We start from the raw sequence: 17,154 nt of genomic DNA, 5'->3' as shown, positions 1-17,154 counted from the left end.
TGATGAGTTTTCCTAAATATATACACCCAAATAATCTCTCCTACAATCAATATGTATAATATTTCCATTATCCTCCAAATTTCCTCATCTGTTTTTGTAGTAAATCTCACTCTACTACAGATCCTGGGCAACTGTTGATTTGCTTTCTGACAATATAGGTTTTTTTTTTTTTCTCTTCAAAAATCTCATTTAAATGGAATCATGCAGTGTCTGTTTTTTTGTGTCTGTCTTTTTTGCTTAGCGTAATGTTCTTCAGCTTCATCAATGTTGTTGCCTACGTTAGTATTTATTCCATTCTATTGCTGAACAGTAGTCTTTTGAATAGATATACCAAAATGTATTTAATAATTTACCTAGTGATAGATATTTGTGTTGTTTCCAGTTTGGGGCAATTATAAATAAAGTTTCCATAAATATTCATATACAAGTGTTTTGTGAACATATGCTTTCATTTATCTGTGTAAATATACTGGAATAGCAATATTGTATGTCATGTATACAGTTAACTTTATAAAAAACTGTCGAAATATTTGCCAAAAATGGTGTGTGAGTTTACACATCAACCAGCAATACGTGAAAGTTATAGTTGTTCCACATTCTTTGTAACATTTGATAGATACCATTAATCTTTAAAATTTTAGCATTTCGCCATGTTAATAGTATCTTTGGATGGTTTTAATTTGCATGTCCTTGATGACTAATCATGTTGGGTACCATTTCATGATCTTATTACCCATTCAAGTATTTTCCTGTGATATGATAATCTGTTCAAATCTTTTCTCTATTTTTGAATTGGATTGACTTACTTTTGAGCTGTGAGAGTTTTTAGAATATTCTGTATACAAGTCCATTATCAGATATATGTATTGTGAATATTTTTTCACTTCCTTACTGTTGTATTTTGAGGAATGGAGGTTTTAACTTTGATTAATCCCAATTTATCATTTTTTCATTGTACTTTATGAGTTCTAATAATTGTTTGCCTACCTTATGCCTATATGTTCTTCCAAAGTCTTTATAGCTTTACAGTTTTAGGTGTGTGATTTATTTTGAATTAATGCTTAGAATGGCTCATTCCAGAATCATTTTTTGATAAGACTAGACTTTTCCCATTGAATTACCTTGGAACTGTTGTTGAATGGGATGCTATTTAGGTATATTTCTGAACTTTGTTTTGTTCCAACGATGAATATAAAAATCCTTATGCCATTGCCATATTTTCTTGATAAGTCTTGCAATCAGGTGGTACAAATCCTCTTCAGTTTTTAAAGCAGGTAGCATAAATGTATTCTTCTTTTCCGAAATGTTTTGACTATTCTATGTCATTTTGATTTCCTTATAAATTATGAAGCCAGCTTGTCAATTTCTTTAAAACTGTTTGTGTTTTATCTAGAATTGACATCTTAACAATGTTGAGTCTTAACAATACTGATCCAATACATTGATATGTCTTTTCATTTATTTAGTTCTCATTTAGTACATCTCAGCAATGTTTTATGGTTTTCAGTGTAGAGGCCTTGGGCATTTAAAAATTATCTGTAAATATTTTCATGTTTCTGAATGCTATAGGAAACATAAAAATTTTATTTTCCATCATATAGAGTTACAATTGCTTCTTGGATTTGTTTACTAAAACCTTGGTAAATTCTTTTAGGTTTAGTACCTGTTTTATAGTTTTCTTTCCACATAAACAACCCTGTTTTCTGAGATTAATGACAGTTTTTTCTTCCCTTTCCATTTCATATGCTTTTATTTTTTTTTCTCTTCTTGCTTAATTGTATTTACTAGAACCACCAGTAGAATGTGGAATAAAAGTGGTGAGAACAAACTTAAATTGCCTTGTTCTCAATCTTACGGGAAAATCATTCAGTCTTTCACTATTAAGTTTGTGATAACTGCAGGCTTTTCATAGATGCCCTGTGTCAAGTTGAGGGAGTTTTATTTCATTCTTAGTTTGCTATTAATACCAAATTTATATAAATGGGTGTTAAGTACAGAGAAATACATTTATGAAGATCATCATATTTTCCCATTTTATTTTGTTAATATGGGGAAAACATTAATTTTTAATTGTTAAGACATCTTTCAATTCTTGAAACAAATGCCACTTTGTCATGATATAGTATCTTTTTTATATATTGTGCAGTCGATTTGATGTTTTTAAAAGGACACTGACTGGTTTGTAATTTTCTTTTTTTGTAATGTTCTTGTCTGGTTTTGGTATTAGAGTAATTCTAACATCATGAAAGTATTTGGGAAGTGTTCCATTCTCCTCTGTTCTCTAAAATAATTTGTATAGGATTGTTATTATATTTTTCTTCAAATTTTTGATAGACTACATGTGAAACTGTGAATCTGAAGTGTCTTTATGGGAAAGATTTTAACTATTCTTTCAACTTTTTAATATGTATGTGGCTATTCACATCTTTGATACCTTCATGTTTCAATTTTGGTAATTATATCTTTCAAGGAATTTATTTATTATGCTAACCTGGCATAAAGTTGTTCAAAATGTTCCCCTAATATTTAATGTCAGTAAAATCCATAGTGATATGCCACCTTTTATTACTGCCATGGGTAATTTGTGCTTTCCTTATTTCTTCTTGATTTATCTAATTAGACGTTTATCAGTTTTAATGATTTTTCTAAATAATAAACCTCATTAATTTTCCATTATTATTATTATTTCCTTAATTTTTATTTTCTTAATTTGCTCCTTTCTAAGCTTTTTAGGATTAAAGCTTAGATAATTGATTTTAGACCTTTTTTACTTTAAATGGAAATATTTAAGGGTTTCCCTTTAAGGACCACTTTATTTATATCCTCTAACTATGAATTCTTCTTTGACCCCTGGGTCATTTAGAAGAAGGTTGTTAATTTTCAAAGTATTTGGCACTATTCCATGAAGATATAAACATTGATTTTTCACTTAATTATATATACCTAGAGAACCTGTTCTGTGTGAGTTTAGTCTTTTTATTTATTGAAACTGCTTTTATGGTCCAGAAGATGATCGACCTATCTTGGTGAATGTTACATACGTATTTGAACTATTGTTGGGAAAAGATATTCTATGAATGCCAATTAGGTCACATTACTTAAAAGTGTCATTCAATTCTTCTTTGTATTTAATGATTTTTTAAAATTTGGTATTTCTAACAATTACCGAGAGAAAAAGTGTTTAAATTTCCATTCAGAAATGGTACAAATTATGTCCTCTTGCTAACCTGCCTACCCCTTTTATTGCTGTGGAATTTCTCTTTTTTATTCCTGGTAAATTTTTTTGTTCTAAAATGTTTCTTTTAGCTAGGAGCAGTGACTCATGCCTGTAATCCCAGCACTTTGGGAGGCCTAGGCAGGTGGATCACGTGAGGTCAGGAGTTCGAGACCAGCCTGGCCAATATGGTGATAACCTGTATCTACTAAAAATACAAAAATTAGCTAGGTGTGGTGGTGCATGCCTGTAATGCCAGCTGTTTGGGAGGCTGAGCCACGAGAATCATTTGAACCCGGGAGACAGAAGTTGCAGTGAGCTGAGATCACGCCACCACACTCCAGCCTGGGCAACAATGTGAGACTTCATTTCAAAAACAAAAAACGACTTTCTTTGTCTGACATTAATATAACCACTCTTGATTTCTTATGATTAGCGTTTTTGTGGGAATACCCTTGTTCACCCTTTTACTTTTAATCTATGTACATCTTTGAATTTAAAAAGCATTTCTTGTAGACAGGCAAATATCTTGGTCTTGCTTTTGACCCAGTCTAATAATTTTTACCTTTTAATTGGTGCGTTTGGTCTACTTATATTTAGTGTAAAATTTGATATAGCTGAGTTTAAGTGTACAATAATATTTATTTTCTATTTGTACCATTGCTTTTTGTTGTTGCTCCTTTGTCCCTGTTTTCCTGCCTTTTTTGAATTGAGTAGTTTTTGTATTTCATTTTATATTCATTATTGAATTATGTTACAGGCCTTTATTTCATTTTTAAAAATTAATTGTTTTTGGATTTACAATTAGCTTCTTCATCTTATTAGAAGCTATCTCAAAATAATACTTCACATATATTGTAAGAACCTTAAGAAAGTTTACTTCTAATTTCATCTTCCATCCTTTATGTAATTTTTGTCTTACCTTTTATTTCTACATATATTATAGTCCTGTAATAGTTTACTATTTCTTCATTATTTATCTTTTAAATAAGTTAAAACATGTGAATAAGATGTCATTTATATTCACATACATAATTAACATTTCTGAAGCTCTTCATGCTTTATGCAGATCAAAATTTCCATTTGAAATCATTATTTTTTCTTTCCAAATAACATTTTTTGCATTCCTTGAAGTGCATATTTGCAGGCGACACGTATTTCAGCTTTTATTTGTCTGAAAATGACTTTTTTCTTAATATTTCTTTTGCTGATTTTTAAATTCTATGATAACAATTTATTTTTGTGTGTTTTGATGGCACTTTGAAGATGTTCTATTTTCCTCTGGCTAGCATTATTTTTTAACAAGTCCCTAGTCATTCTTGTCTTTTTTCATGTGCATGGAATATGCCTTTTTTTCTGTAATTGCTTTGAGGTTTGCTCTTTTTTATTATGCCTTACTACCTTGATGTAGTTTACTTCATACTTCATTTTTTTCTTGCTTTTGAATGACTGAATTTCTTGGATATGCAGATTTATAGTTTTCTTAAAATATGGAAAGTCTCTGGGTATTATTCCTTCACATATATTTTCCTGCTTATATCCCTTTCATCATTTCAAGTACACATATGTTAGACCATTTAAAATTGTCCCAAAGGTCACCATGGATTTGTTTATTTCCCCTTTAGCCATTTCCTCTCTGTGCTTCGGTTTGGATATTTTCTATTGCTATGTGGTCATATGTACTGATTTCTTTTTAGCCTTGTTGAATCTCCTATTAAGTTTGTTCAGTGAATTTTTCATTTCTATCTAGAGTATGCTTTCTTAGTTTAGCTTTACTTCTACTGTACTCTGAAGAGGTTTCTCCATTCTGGCTGATTAATACTTGAGTGCCTTCCAGTCCAGTTTGATCTCTGGGAATTGTTCATTTTATAGCTCTCTATTGGCTCTTTGCTTGGCCTTTGAAATCCAATCCTATGTTTCACAGCTTAGTATTTAGAAACAGATTGTAGGACCCCCCCCAAACCCCATGAAAGTTTCTGGAAGTCTCCCTCTCTGTATCTTATTCCTTTTTGTATTTTGCCTGGCAAATTCCGGTGGCCTCAGCAAACCCAAACCTTGATCTCTGCCTAGTGAGTTCAGTGAGATCCCCAGGCTGTGCTCAGTTTCCCCACCATGTGCTGTGGGTCATGATGTTCCTTCAGGCCAAAACCCAGGAAGATTGAAAAGCCTATCTCACGTATTTTCCTTCTGTCAGAGATCATAGCGTTCAATTCCCTAGAGCAGTTGTTTTATATATTTTTATACATCCTCTCTTCCCACCAGTGTTCTGGCTGTTACAGAGGGAGGGCAAGACCAACTTACTGATTTTAATGTGGCAGAAGCTTTGTGAGCAATTTTAATTGATCTTTTTTCTAAAATTGAATAATTTCCTAGTTAAAAATAATATGTGTGCATGTATGAAAGGACTTACAGTGATAATGCATAAGACTTCTTTTAATGTCTGAAAGTGACATAAATGCTACGTAAAGGGAGAACTTATAAAATGTGTTTGGTAACAAACAGGAGAAGAAAACCATTTTATATTTGCATCTCTTCAAGTTGAGACTGTTTAGTAGACTGATCATTTAATTGAAAATGTTTTTTAGAAATTCCTTTTTTCTTTGCATTTGTAAAGGAAAACAATGGGAATGGAAATAAAAGTAGACTGGCCACTCACGTTTTTCAAATATGGGGAAGATTGATATCCAGATTACTGATTTGTATTGGAGGCATCAACTTTTTTACATTCTGATTTGATTCCCTGATACGTTGGATGTACATTTTGTTTCAATATTTACATCACTTCTGCCAGGTTTTGTAATGTCTGATTGGATATCTGATATCATTTTGATGCTCTTTTAACCTCTTTATACTTTGAAACTCACAGAGTTATTATTTCTAGGAATTGGTGGTGGGATCAATAAAACCATGAGAAATTTAGAATATTGCTTTTCTATGGACTGTTCCTCCAAGGACAAGGAAATCAATCAAAATAAAAAATTCCTTACCACATTTATCTATAAACAGAATGTGCTGAATTGGAATAAATCTTGGGTTAATTTAACTGAGACATTGTGATTCTGGCCTCTGAACTTTTGTCTATGAATTCTGTCTTTCTCTCACTCTTTGCAGATTTTAATTACTATCTAGGGCCCAGCTAAGCTTTCATTTCATCTTGTAAGACTTTCCTGACCACATTAGCGCACGTTGATTCTCTCCTCCTAAATTCTTAAAGGATTTATGACTTGTATAGAATTGACCATATATTAACTTGTTACATATTCTGCATATTATTTTATATAGTGTTTTTGTTCCGTCTTCATGTGTGTGAAGGTAATTACTATCCATTTTTTTTTCTCATTCACTGAATAATTTATTAGGCATCTACTCTGTACCAAGCCCTGTGCTAAGAGATAATATATAATGGCAAAGTAAATAGATACGGTCTCTGCCCTTATGCAGCTTAGAGTGGCAGAACTATGTTTCAAGCAGAATATCTGCAAATGTATAATAATGTGATCAGTTATTTGATAGAAAGGAACTGGGTTTTATAAAAGAAGAATATTGAGTGACACCTGGTTAATTTGGGGTAGTTAGAGAAAGTCTGTTTATCAAAGGGATAGCTGAGCTGAGATATGAAGTCTAGGAGATAGAAGAGTATTTAAAAATAGAAAGACCTATGTCCTCAAGAGTATAAGGCGAAGGTAAAGATGTATCAGAATAGAAGCTCTCAGACTTCACTGTTAATCAGAATCATTTGTGCATTTATTAAAAATGCAGATTTCTGGCCTTCAACCTCAGAGATTCTGAGTCAGATTTTCTGCATTTTTATAAGTAACCCAAGTGATTCTTTCTGATGTAAGCAGCTGTAGCTCCTGTTTGTGAAATACAGGTCTAAGCAATCAATGTTTTTTTTCTTTTCTTAAAAAAAAGTTATTGGAGTAATGAAGCTGAGCAACTACCTACAGGAGGAATAAGCAGGAATATAGATGACTCAATTGAATAAAATGTGTAATGCTCCTTTAGACCTATAAGAATTTGTTGTACAATAGAATATGGATGAAGGCCTGAAATATTAAAATTTGAGCTATTAAACTCTAAATTACAAAAGTCTCAACTTGGCTTCTTAACATCAAGGAAAACGTAACATGAGTTACCTTTGAAGACATTTACTATGCCTCATAGAACTTCTCATCCTGCACAGTATTTTGTAGAGTACTTGTCACAGAATTGATGATTTATAAATATTGAATGCATGAATGAATACATTAATGAATATTTTATGAATGCCTCTTATTTTGCTTTAATATTTCCCAGGACTCTTATCACCTTCTACTACACAGCTTGGAGGAGAGTGAGGGTCTTGATAGCTCTAATGACTGGTATATTACCTCTTGAAATAATTTGAATAAAATAATGTCTGGAAGAGAGCAAAGATTAACCCAAAGAAAATTATCTTTAATCTATATTTTCATAGCATTTCATCAATATTTCTATTATGCACATACATAAAAGTAACCAAAATATAGTCTAATATATGTTATTTCTTTCTAACTGAACTGTCAGCTCCTCAAGGGCGGGAACTATGCCTTATTTGTCTTTAATAAGTGTAGAGTCATCCATAGTGTCTTTTTTAGTTAGTGACTAAAGAAATTTATGTTGAATTGAGTTTAATTACAATGTGATATTGTAAGTATTTTGGCACTTGGATTGGAATAATTTTTGAGATAAAGAACCTTTGTAATAATTCTCAGTTCTTACAGTTGTACTATTTTTTCTCTTCCTATTTACAATGGAATAGAAAGGCACAGAGGTTGACTGCACAAGAAGTATTTATGAGAGAGGAGAGCGCTCCCCAATTCCGGAGTTAGGATTTGGGATAGGAACAGGGTTATATGACAGATGCTGGGGTGCCACATTGGAGTGACCTCGAAACTAAGTTAGCATCTCAGATAAACTTAAGCTGGAGATTTGCTAAGTTCTCAACAACTTGGTGCCAACAGAAGAGAATGAGCCAGTTTTAAATGACAATAACTAGTGGATTAAAGGTCTGAGGAAAACGCAGGAGTTGATAAAGAATGATTTTAGAATTGCGAGCTGGGTTGTCCAAGTTATAATATCAGGAATGATTTCAGAGTTGGGCCAACTGAATCCAGAGTTCTAATCTGGTGATAATGGCAATGGAAATATAGTTAGAGGTATATGGTGGTGTCCAATTTGTAACTCACGCAAGTGGCGTTTGACCAATGGAGATTGGCCCACATGTGAATATTGGAGACTGAATTACACCGGAAGGCATGAGTAACAGAATGCAGCTCAGGTGAAGATAGTTTTTTAGGAGAGAGTCCATAAACTCTGGTTTTTATTGGGACCTCAGGCTAGAGGAGGATTGGGGCACTAGAAAAATGGCCAAACTGAGAAACTGTAGAAATTTTAAATTATAGAAATTATACCAAATCAGTGTCCAGCAGAAAACTTCTGGTTAATCTTACTTTACCAATTTATTGATATGAGAGTCACCTTATATATGTGGATGGCTACAGAGTACATCTACACAATTCACTTAAAGTGCACTGGATTTGATCACTGTATAAGACTGGCCTTGCTTGTTTTGAAGCCAAGCAGTAGGCAGAAGCAATATTAACTTGCTTGGTTAAGAAATGCATTGCCTTGGCAACATTGGTATTATTTTACAGAAAAGCTGCTCTCTTTTGATACCACTAAATCTTGTTTATAAAGAGCATTTTCAGTTTCTCTTTAAGAACATGTTAAATGGACAATTTTGAGTCAGTTGGTGCCTGGCTCTTCATCGGCTTCTTTTTAAATTTAATTTTCCTGTTTCCTTTCGTTGCTCCACTGAGCTCTTCCTTAATTATCAGATTACAGTGTTCAGCATGATTCCTGGAATTGTTCATTTCTGTCAACCAGAAAGAAAACAGACCATTGATATATGTAAGACTGTACCTTTGCACTTAATGATTCTCCAATTAGTGTCCCAGTCAATCTCAGGAACTGCATCTGAAATAATCAGTGAGCAAACTTTTCTTCTTTGCTGCTCTCTAATCACTCTTCCGCTACTGGCTTAATTCGTGAATTGTAAAGTAGGATTTTGCTGAATAGTCAATCTTATAACCTTACGTAAATATCAGATCATTATGGTTAGCTTCCTTATTTGGTGAGAGTTTGTTCCACTTTCTTTTTTTGTAGATTTCAGGGTGCACATGTCCTGCTGTTTGTCCCTGGGTCTGGCAAACTTAATTTCATTAATTAGTTAAGTAGACATCAGGCTGCTGAGGAGGCTTGAAAGTGCTATGGCTAAAACCCAAAGCAGTATGTCAGGGCTGGGTCATAGATGTGCAGTCTGTATAGCCAAAAAGGACCTGTGATCAGAAGGGCCCTGAAATTGATTTAATGCTCATTGTTATTTTGACATTCTTAACAGTTTTATCTTTAAACTTGTGTTCTGTAAGATAAGTTTGATGGGACAGTGGAGTATATGTGTAGGCAGAGGAGATAAGCACAAAATATATGCTTACCTTTCTGGCTACTGTATTTGCTACTGTACATCAGTGTTTCTGATGTCCCATGAGCACAGAATTCTTGTGGGCCCACCATGTGTGGATGTTAGGCGAGTACAAGGTAAGCATGTTGTATCTATGACTGTGCAAGCAGGTGAACTGATAGCCCTGAGATGCTAAGCTTTCTATTTAAGCCAGAATTTGCTTTAAATGTAAAAAGAAGGAAATGGTGCTCTAGGACACATGAATAAGCAAGGAACCCTATCATTTCCTTACTTACTTGAGTTACTTCCCTGTATTAGACAACCACACAGCCTGAAAATGACACAGACGGAATGGGAAATAGGGCAGCCTATAGTTTCCCTATCACTCTGTCTCTACTCCTTAGTGAGCTAAAAGTAGAGTGTTGGTAGAATGTGCACATATCAAGAAGTGAAATAAAAATAGCTGAATTAATTTTGTGCAGTATTTCCACTGTTTTGCTAAGAACAACATGCCTGTGCATGCACTAGCTATGGTAATTTTGGTGGATTCTGCATGAGTTTGAATGCTCATGTATTTGTATTTGAAATAGGGATTATGCAATATAAAGAGGAATGGTAAAATTCATGCTAATAATTGAAAACTTATTTTTTTAAAAAATTTGAATGACATTCAACAGCAAACAAAACACCATGACAAACCAAGAGAAAAGGAAGAAAAGCAAAAGCTTTATACTTTAGCATCATTAGTAGCACTTTTTTTCTACTTTTGAACAAGAAGACCCACAATTTCATTGTATTCTGGGCCCTGCAAACGTTGTAGCCTGCCCTGCAGAATGTCCTCAGGATCAATTCAATTTTCTCTTTAATTCATCATGGATTCCCTAAAAGTGTTTGCAGCCCTGGGAAGAGGCTGAGTGAGAAGATTCTCTGTGTGAACCCTCACAGTGCCAGGCCACGTCATATAGGCTGGCTTCTCCCATCCTTGGGGAGGATGGTCTTTGTAGAAAATCCCCTTCCACAGATGCAGGCTTCACAATAAGGTAGGCTTTGCTACGTGAGGAGCTACACAGGTCTTTTTAAATTTTCTCTCCTGTGCCTTTTCTTCATCCACAATTAATGGAGGTCCCACGGTGTCTTGGTTTCCAGAAGCCTTTAGAGTAAAAAATAAAGGGGCTTTTTGCTAGTTTCAAATGATACATCAGTTCTAGGTTATCAGCAGCTAAAAATACATGGTTAGAGTGTTGCAGTTACAGATAGTGACACAGCATAGCTTTTAGATGTCAAGGCATTGAGCCTACAGTAGCATCATTGTGTGTGTGGTGGAGGGTGGAGAGAGAGAGACGATTTTAGTAGTGGCAGGAGATTGTGGGTGGTATATCTTTTTCTTCCTCCCCATTTCTCTACAACAAGACTACCCCAAATTATGAGAAACTTCTGAAGATGATTTTCTTCATTGAAAGCCATAAATCTAATTTTTAAAAATGTTGATTTCTTCTAATTATTAAAATGTATAGGCTACTTGGAAAACACAGGAAAAAGTATGAAGATGGAAGAAAAAATGCCTTTATAATTATCTCTTTACCATTCCCTCATATTTCATATACATATAAATATGTATATTTGTGTGGGTATATATAATGTATATATTATATATGTGTATTTGTGTGGGTGTGTATATATTATACATAATATACATATACATAATATATACACACCCACATAAACATACATATATAATAAATGTATCTCCTGTTTTCACATATATAGTCTCTTTTCACATATATATTTCCTGCATGTGTTTATACACAGGAATATATACAAATATACATTTCCTATATATTTTTTCTCCCACAAAAAGTCGACTTATATTTTTTATATAGTTTTGTCTCCTGCCTTTTTCCTTATTGTGTGAGATTGTCACTAACTTGTCTCTAAAAACATTATTTTATAGGTAGCATCAGAATAGCACTTGTATGGAAATACTGTAATTTACAGACCAGTCTCTCATAGTTGTACATGTGGTAATTTACAAATTAGTCTTCTACAGTTGTATATGTATCTTGTCTGCAACTACTTATAAAAATATTTAGAAAATGTTATAGAAACTAGTGACTTCTGTAATATTTATTGGATTACATCATGACCAATCTGGTATTTTCTGCAGTTTTAAGATTTAGATTATAGTTCAGTCAATTCAATCAATTGTGTGGTGACCGAGAATTTAAAATGACTAAAAATAGAATAGATCAAACCGTCAATTTGATTTCCCTGAATAGAAACAGCTTCAGTCATCACAAGATTAATCAGTAAAGTGTTAACATAAACCAATAAAGCAGAGAGACTTTGGATTAAGAACTTTATATCATTTAAAGATTCAGCCCATTATCCTTTCCATGCAAGTGCCCTCAGGCTTTCACATTAATTGTGTGTGGTTTAAGAAGATTTAAGATGAGGGTGATACACTCAGCAGAGAGTGAACTTGACCATTGCTATCTCACTTTAATTAATCTCTTTATTCTCTATCTTTCAGTTCACTCAACACCTGAATAAAAAAAAAAAGTAAGATCAAGTTCTTTTGAGTTGAGGAAACAATTGAGTTACAAAGTAATCTGATACAGGGAGGATCAAGGACTGTAAAACTTAGAATTCCTAACAAGTGGACCTGAATTGAAAGTTCTTTTACACCTGGTTTTTCATGCTTCAGTGGCTGGCTTTTCTTCCAGGTTCCCTGGATCGTGCCCTTAACCCCTTGGGGTTTGTGAACATAAAGCTTTCTCCCTTTGACTTACAGCCTAGGCTAGCATTCTAAAAATGATCAGGTTCAAAAAGCTACTTCTTTTTTAAACTCTATAAGAATTTAAGGCTACTTTAGAAACCAAAATCCTCTCGGGCTGACTGAAAAGGGTTCTTTTTCCTTAGCAACCCTTACGTTGTATATTGGAAACTTGGTTAGGTTATGAATGCCCACACAGTTTTGTGTGGGTATTCATTCATTTATGCTAAGAATATTTATTGACTACTTATATGTGCCTTGCCCTGTGCTAGGGGAATAAAAACAACAGTCTCTTTCCTTTGGGAGCTCACCTTTGTAGGGAGAAACAGACATTAATCGTATGATCAAAGTAAAATTACAAATGTGAAGTATGCCTGAAAGAGAGGTGGTTGGTGCTGTAAAGGTGTATAATAGAGGGGTAATAGTTACTGAGTGAAATTGGAAAATCAGTAGAGATGTGTCAAGGGAAGAAGCAAGGGAAGAAAGAGCATTTCCAGAAAGAGAATTGCACTGGCAAAGGCTGTGAAGGGAAGCAGTGTAGCTAGTAAGAGTGTGTGACCCTGTCAGATTCACATTTGTACAAGACTGCACTGGCTGCAGTGAGCAAAGTGGAGGGGCTTCTAGCTTCCAAAACTGCAAGCTTCTTTGAGTTGGTACAGTCCCTGCTATAAAGAAACCCCAGAGGTGGCACAAAGTGATCATATAAAAATGCTGTTAAGTCCGTCCATTAATATGCTGTATTATTTACAGCTCATTTTACTTAAAGTATGAAAACAGAATTAAAAAAAAAAAGACAATTGTAACATTAAAGATCCTATGAGACAGACCGCATTTGACAGAGACATAACTTAGGAAGTCTGGTAAGGAAAGAAAACATAGCAGCTTCAAAAATATTCCACTCAGCATGCAATGTGTCAGACTAGGATGGTGGTGGTGAAAAATATTTGAGGGAGGCACTGTTCTATGTACTGTGAAAGTTGCATATACCAGGATGAAATCACTTTTGTGAGATTCAGACAAAATAGGGTCAGGAAGGCACGAAGAGAGAAGGCTCATGCATATCTGAGATGAGAGCTGTTTCCAAGGACTTGTAAAATATCCCTCAAGAAACCCTTTCATGTCCTTCACACATCTTCTGCTTTGATGAAATTTACCACTAGACATTCTTTAGCACTGCAGTAATTCGGATAAGACGTGTATGGAAGAACACTTGCCCGGTAATGGTGTCTGGATTATAATACTTTTTCCTAATTCTTGAGTAAACCCAACATATTGAGAATTAATTTTTTCTAGTGTCTTTATTCAGGTTGATAAGTACTAAAGATGTTGTGAGTGATAAAGGACAGAGTCATTGTCCTCAAGGAACTCAGAGTCAGGAGGGGACACAGACATATAATCAAGCTTTTTTTTTTTTTTTTTTTTTTGAGACAGAGTTTCACTCTTGTTCCCCAGACTGGAGTGCAATGGCACGATCTCGGCTCACCACAACCTCTGCCTCCTGGATTCAAGCGATTCTCCTGCCTCAGCCTCCCGAGTAGCTGGGATTACAGGCATGCGCCACCACTCCCGGCTAATTTTGTACTTTTAGTAGAGACGGGGTTTCTCCATGTTGGTCAGGCTGGTCTCGAACTCCCAACCTCAGGTGATCCACCCACCTTGGCCTCACAAATTGCTGGGACTATAGGCATGAGCCACCGCACCTGACAATCAAGCCTTTATAGTATAAAGTGACATGCCTTAAGATAAGTGAGCACACAGAGCAAAGGACACACAGGGCAGAGCATCCACCTGGGTGGGCCATGGGCGTGGTTTCATGGAGAGATGATGCTGAATCTGAGTGTTGAAGTGGGACTGACAATTCTCCAGGTGAATGTGAGGAGGAAAAACCAAAGAGGCAAAGAAAGATAAGTGAAGGCAGTATGGTATGCTAAGGAAATTGCTAAGGAATAGAGAGCAGTGTTTTCCAAAATGGTTTGGGATTGCATTTTCCCTGCTCTATAAAAAAATGAGAAAAATAAGAATGAGGAAGAGCACACACACATTTTCAAAGACACACAGATTTTCCCAGGTGTTGGTAATAGGCAGTGAACAGAAGCTCTGCCCTTCTGAAGCTCGCATTCTAATGGGGGAAGGCAACCCGTAAACAAGAGAGTGATGAGTGTTTTCAAATAGTGAGAAGGGCTTTGAACAAAAATAAAACTGTATAAAAGAAAGTGACTGGAGGTGATATTTTAGATACTGTGGTAGGCATTCGTGCTGAGGTGACATTTAGATGGAGACCTGAATTAAGTGAAAAAATGAGTCATGCCATGATCCGGACAATTATCTGTTGCTAGTCCAGGGAACAGGATGGGAAAAATTCAGAGGTAGGAACATGTATGGCATGTTTAAAGATAAAGAAGAACAGAAATACTGGAGTAAAGAAGTGGGAAACAGAGGGATACGGTCTGAGTTTGAAGAGAGAACTTGGGACCAGGTTATAGAGGTCATATTTCTGCCTCACATTTTCTTGTGAGGAGTCAAAACAAGGAACTGGATTTTATTTTGTATTGGAACAGCTCATTCTGGCTCTTTGTTTCCCTTAATGTATTCTTTGTAACACCTGAGATGAGACGTTCTTTTAAAAAATAGTGCTTGAGCCCAGGAGTTCGAGGCTGCAGTGAGCCATGATTGCACCACTGCACTCCAGCCTGAGCAACGGAGTGAGATCCTGTCTCAACAAAAGAAAAAACAGCTTTATGGAAAAATAAATTATAAAGTTCAGTACACAATATCCCCTTGTGGCATATTCAGTATTTGTCTTAGCATAGTTCTTCCTAATAGAAAACTTGAGACAAAGAATTAGGTGCTGATTATTTTGAGGAGTGAGCCCAAGGAACAGGAATGAAGAACTGAATAATAGGAAACAAGGAATGCTAAACAATGGTGCTTTATTGAATTAATAGTCAAAAAATGGTATCTGGAACTGTGCAAAATCAAGGTTGGGATATAACCAAAGGAGAATGTTATCCCTTTAGGGTTGGACATTATTCTCCAGTTAATTTGATTGTTTTTTGGTAGTCACTTCACTCTTATGATCTTAGAGTGAATTAAAATTGCCCAGTGTTTGCTCCAAGGATGGTAATGTGGTAGGTTGGCAACTCACTGACCTGAGGCCGGAGACTTCATGTTAATGTCCTGGGCAGCTGCTAGTAATCAAGGAGAAACCAAATGTACCTAAACAGCAAAAGAAAATTCTTAAAAAGTCCTCCAAACAAATAAATAGTATAAGATGCAATAAGAAGAAAGCAATTAGGTTTTTTATGGATAACCATTTTTATGAGTAATAGAGGCAAACATCAAGACATAATCTAATTAGTTTAAATCTAAAAACGCTTTCTCATTCTACATTTTCTGTTATATAATGAGATTTTTTTCAAGGAAGTTTACAGGAGTTTGATTGTTCTCCAGAGCCTAATATCTGCCAAACAGCTCCCCACTTTAAATTTGGTTATATTCTCTATGGAGTAGTAATATGCCACTGTTGACCTCTATTTTAATAGAAGGAGGATTTTATTAATACCTTTTCTTATCTGCTGTTCTAATTAAATGTACAAGTCAAAAGAGCTGATTTACACTACCTGGATTTCATAAAGAAGAGAAACGAAGCAGTCGTGAAATAAAAGCTTTATCTAAATACAAAGTAAGATGCTTAACAATGCATACAAAAAGTGAGATTCCCACAGGGGAATATCCAGCTAGAATTCTGGTGCCAAGCAATTCCACTGGCAGAATGTAAAGTTGTATTTTCTATCATCAGGCGGTTCAGCTGAAAAGAGAGTTTAACAAAATGAGAAGTGTTTGAGTGAAGGCCAGGTGACAAGAAGTGCAACTTGTATTTTATAGGGACTGTATTCAAACATTCCAACATACTTTAAAAGCATTTCATTAACTCTGGCTTTATTTTAGATTCTTCTCTATGTCTCACAAATAAGTAATGGGAGAAAGATTGGTTATTCTTACTTCTTTTTATATTGTCTTATTTGGAATTGTATCTAAAGCAGATTCTTTCTTTTTTTTTTCCCACCCTGAAAGTCAACTTGTGATACCAATCAAATAAACCTAAAATTTTCCAAATCTCAACTTCATTTTGTATTTTATAGCAACATCTGCCAAAGAAAACAATGAATATAAGGAAGATACAGAAATATGGTCTATGATTACTAAGTGAAGGTGAACATACAGGTTTTATTTTAAAGAAACTTCCAATAGTATTTATTTAAGAACTTACCGTATACAATTTCCCTTCATCTGCCTCCTGAGAGCAGATACATTTATAACAATTCAAACTTCTTTGATTCCACATCCTCATCTGATAATCTGTGAAGGAGTCTTAAATTAGTTTTCTCTCTGAGATGGTAATCTCCCGTGGAATTTTCATTTAAAAAAATCACATGAAAAACTCATTTGAATTAATTCATGTAGGTGTTCCACTACTTGCTGGGGATGATTCAAATGTGATACAAGCATGACTTCTCCTTATGAACTGTACAAGAAAGATCAGTAAGGGAGAAAGATAAGCAGTAAAGATAAACCAGAATGTGCTAAACACTGTAACAGATACACTTGTAGTTGGAAGGAGTTGTAAGGAAGAGAGTCGAATCAGATAAGCGTCATGAAGGAAAGGATGTTTGAATGGGTCTGAAA

At 34.7% G+C, this 17,154-nt stretch overlaps 1 long non-coding RNA gene across 1 annotated transcript in view; it reads left to right on the top strand.

Annotated features, from left to right (window-relative positions):
- The window catches only part of LOC105375451 (uncharacterized), a 173,872-nt gene that overhangs the window by 103,513 nt on the left and 53,205 nt on the right, over positions 1-17,154 (top strand). The window lies entirely within an intron of this gene.

Source organism: Homo sapiens, chromosome 7 (assembly GCF_000001405.40).
Source record: "Homo sapiens chromosome 7, GRCh38.p14 Primary Assembly".
Lineage (NCBI taxonomy): Eukaryota > Metazoa > Chordata > Mammalia > Primates > Hominidae > Homo > Homo sapiens.
Note: the sequence above shows the minus strand (reverse complement) of the source record. Positions and strands in the feature narration are given on the sequence as shown.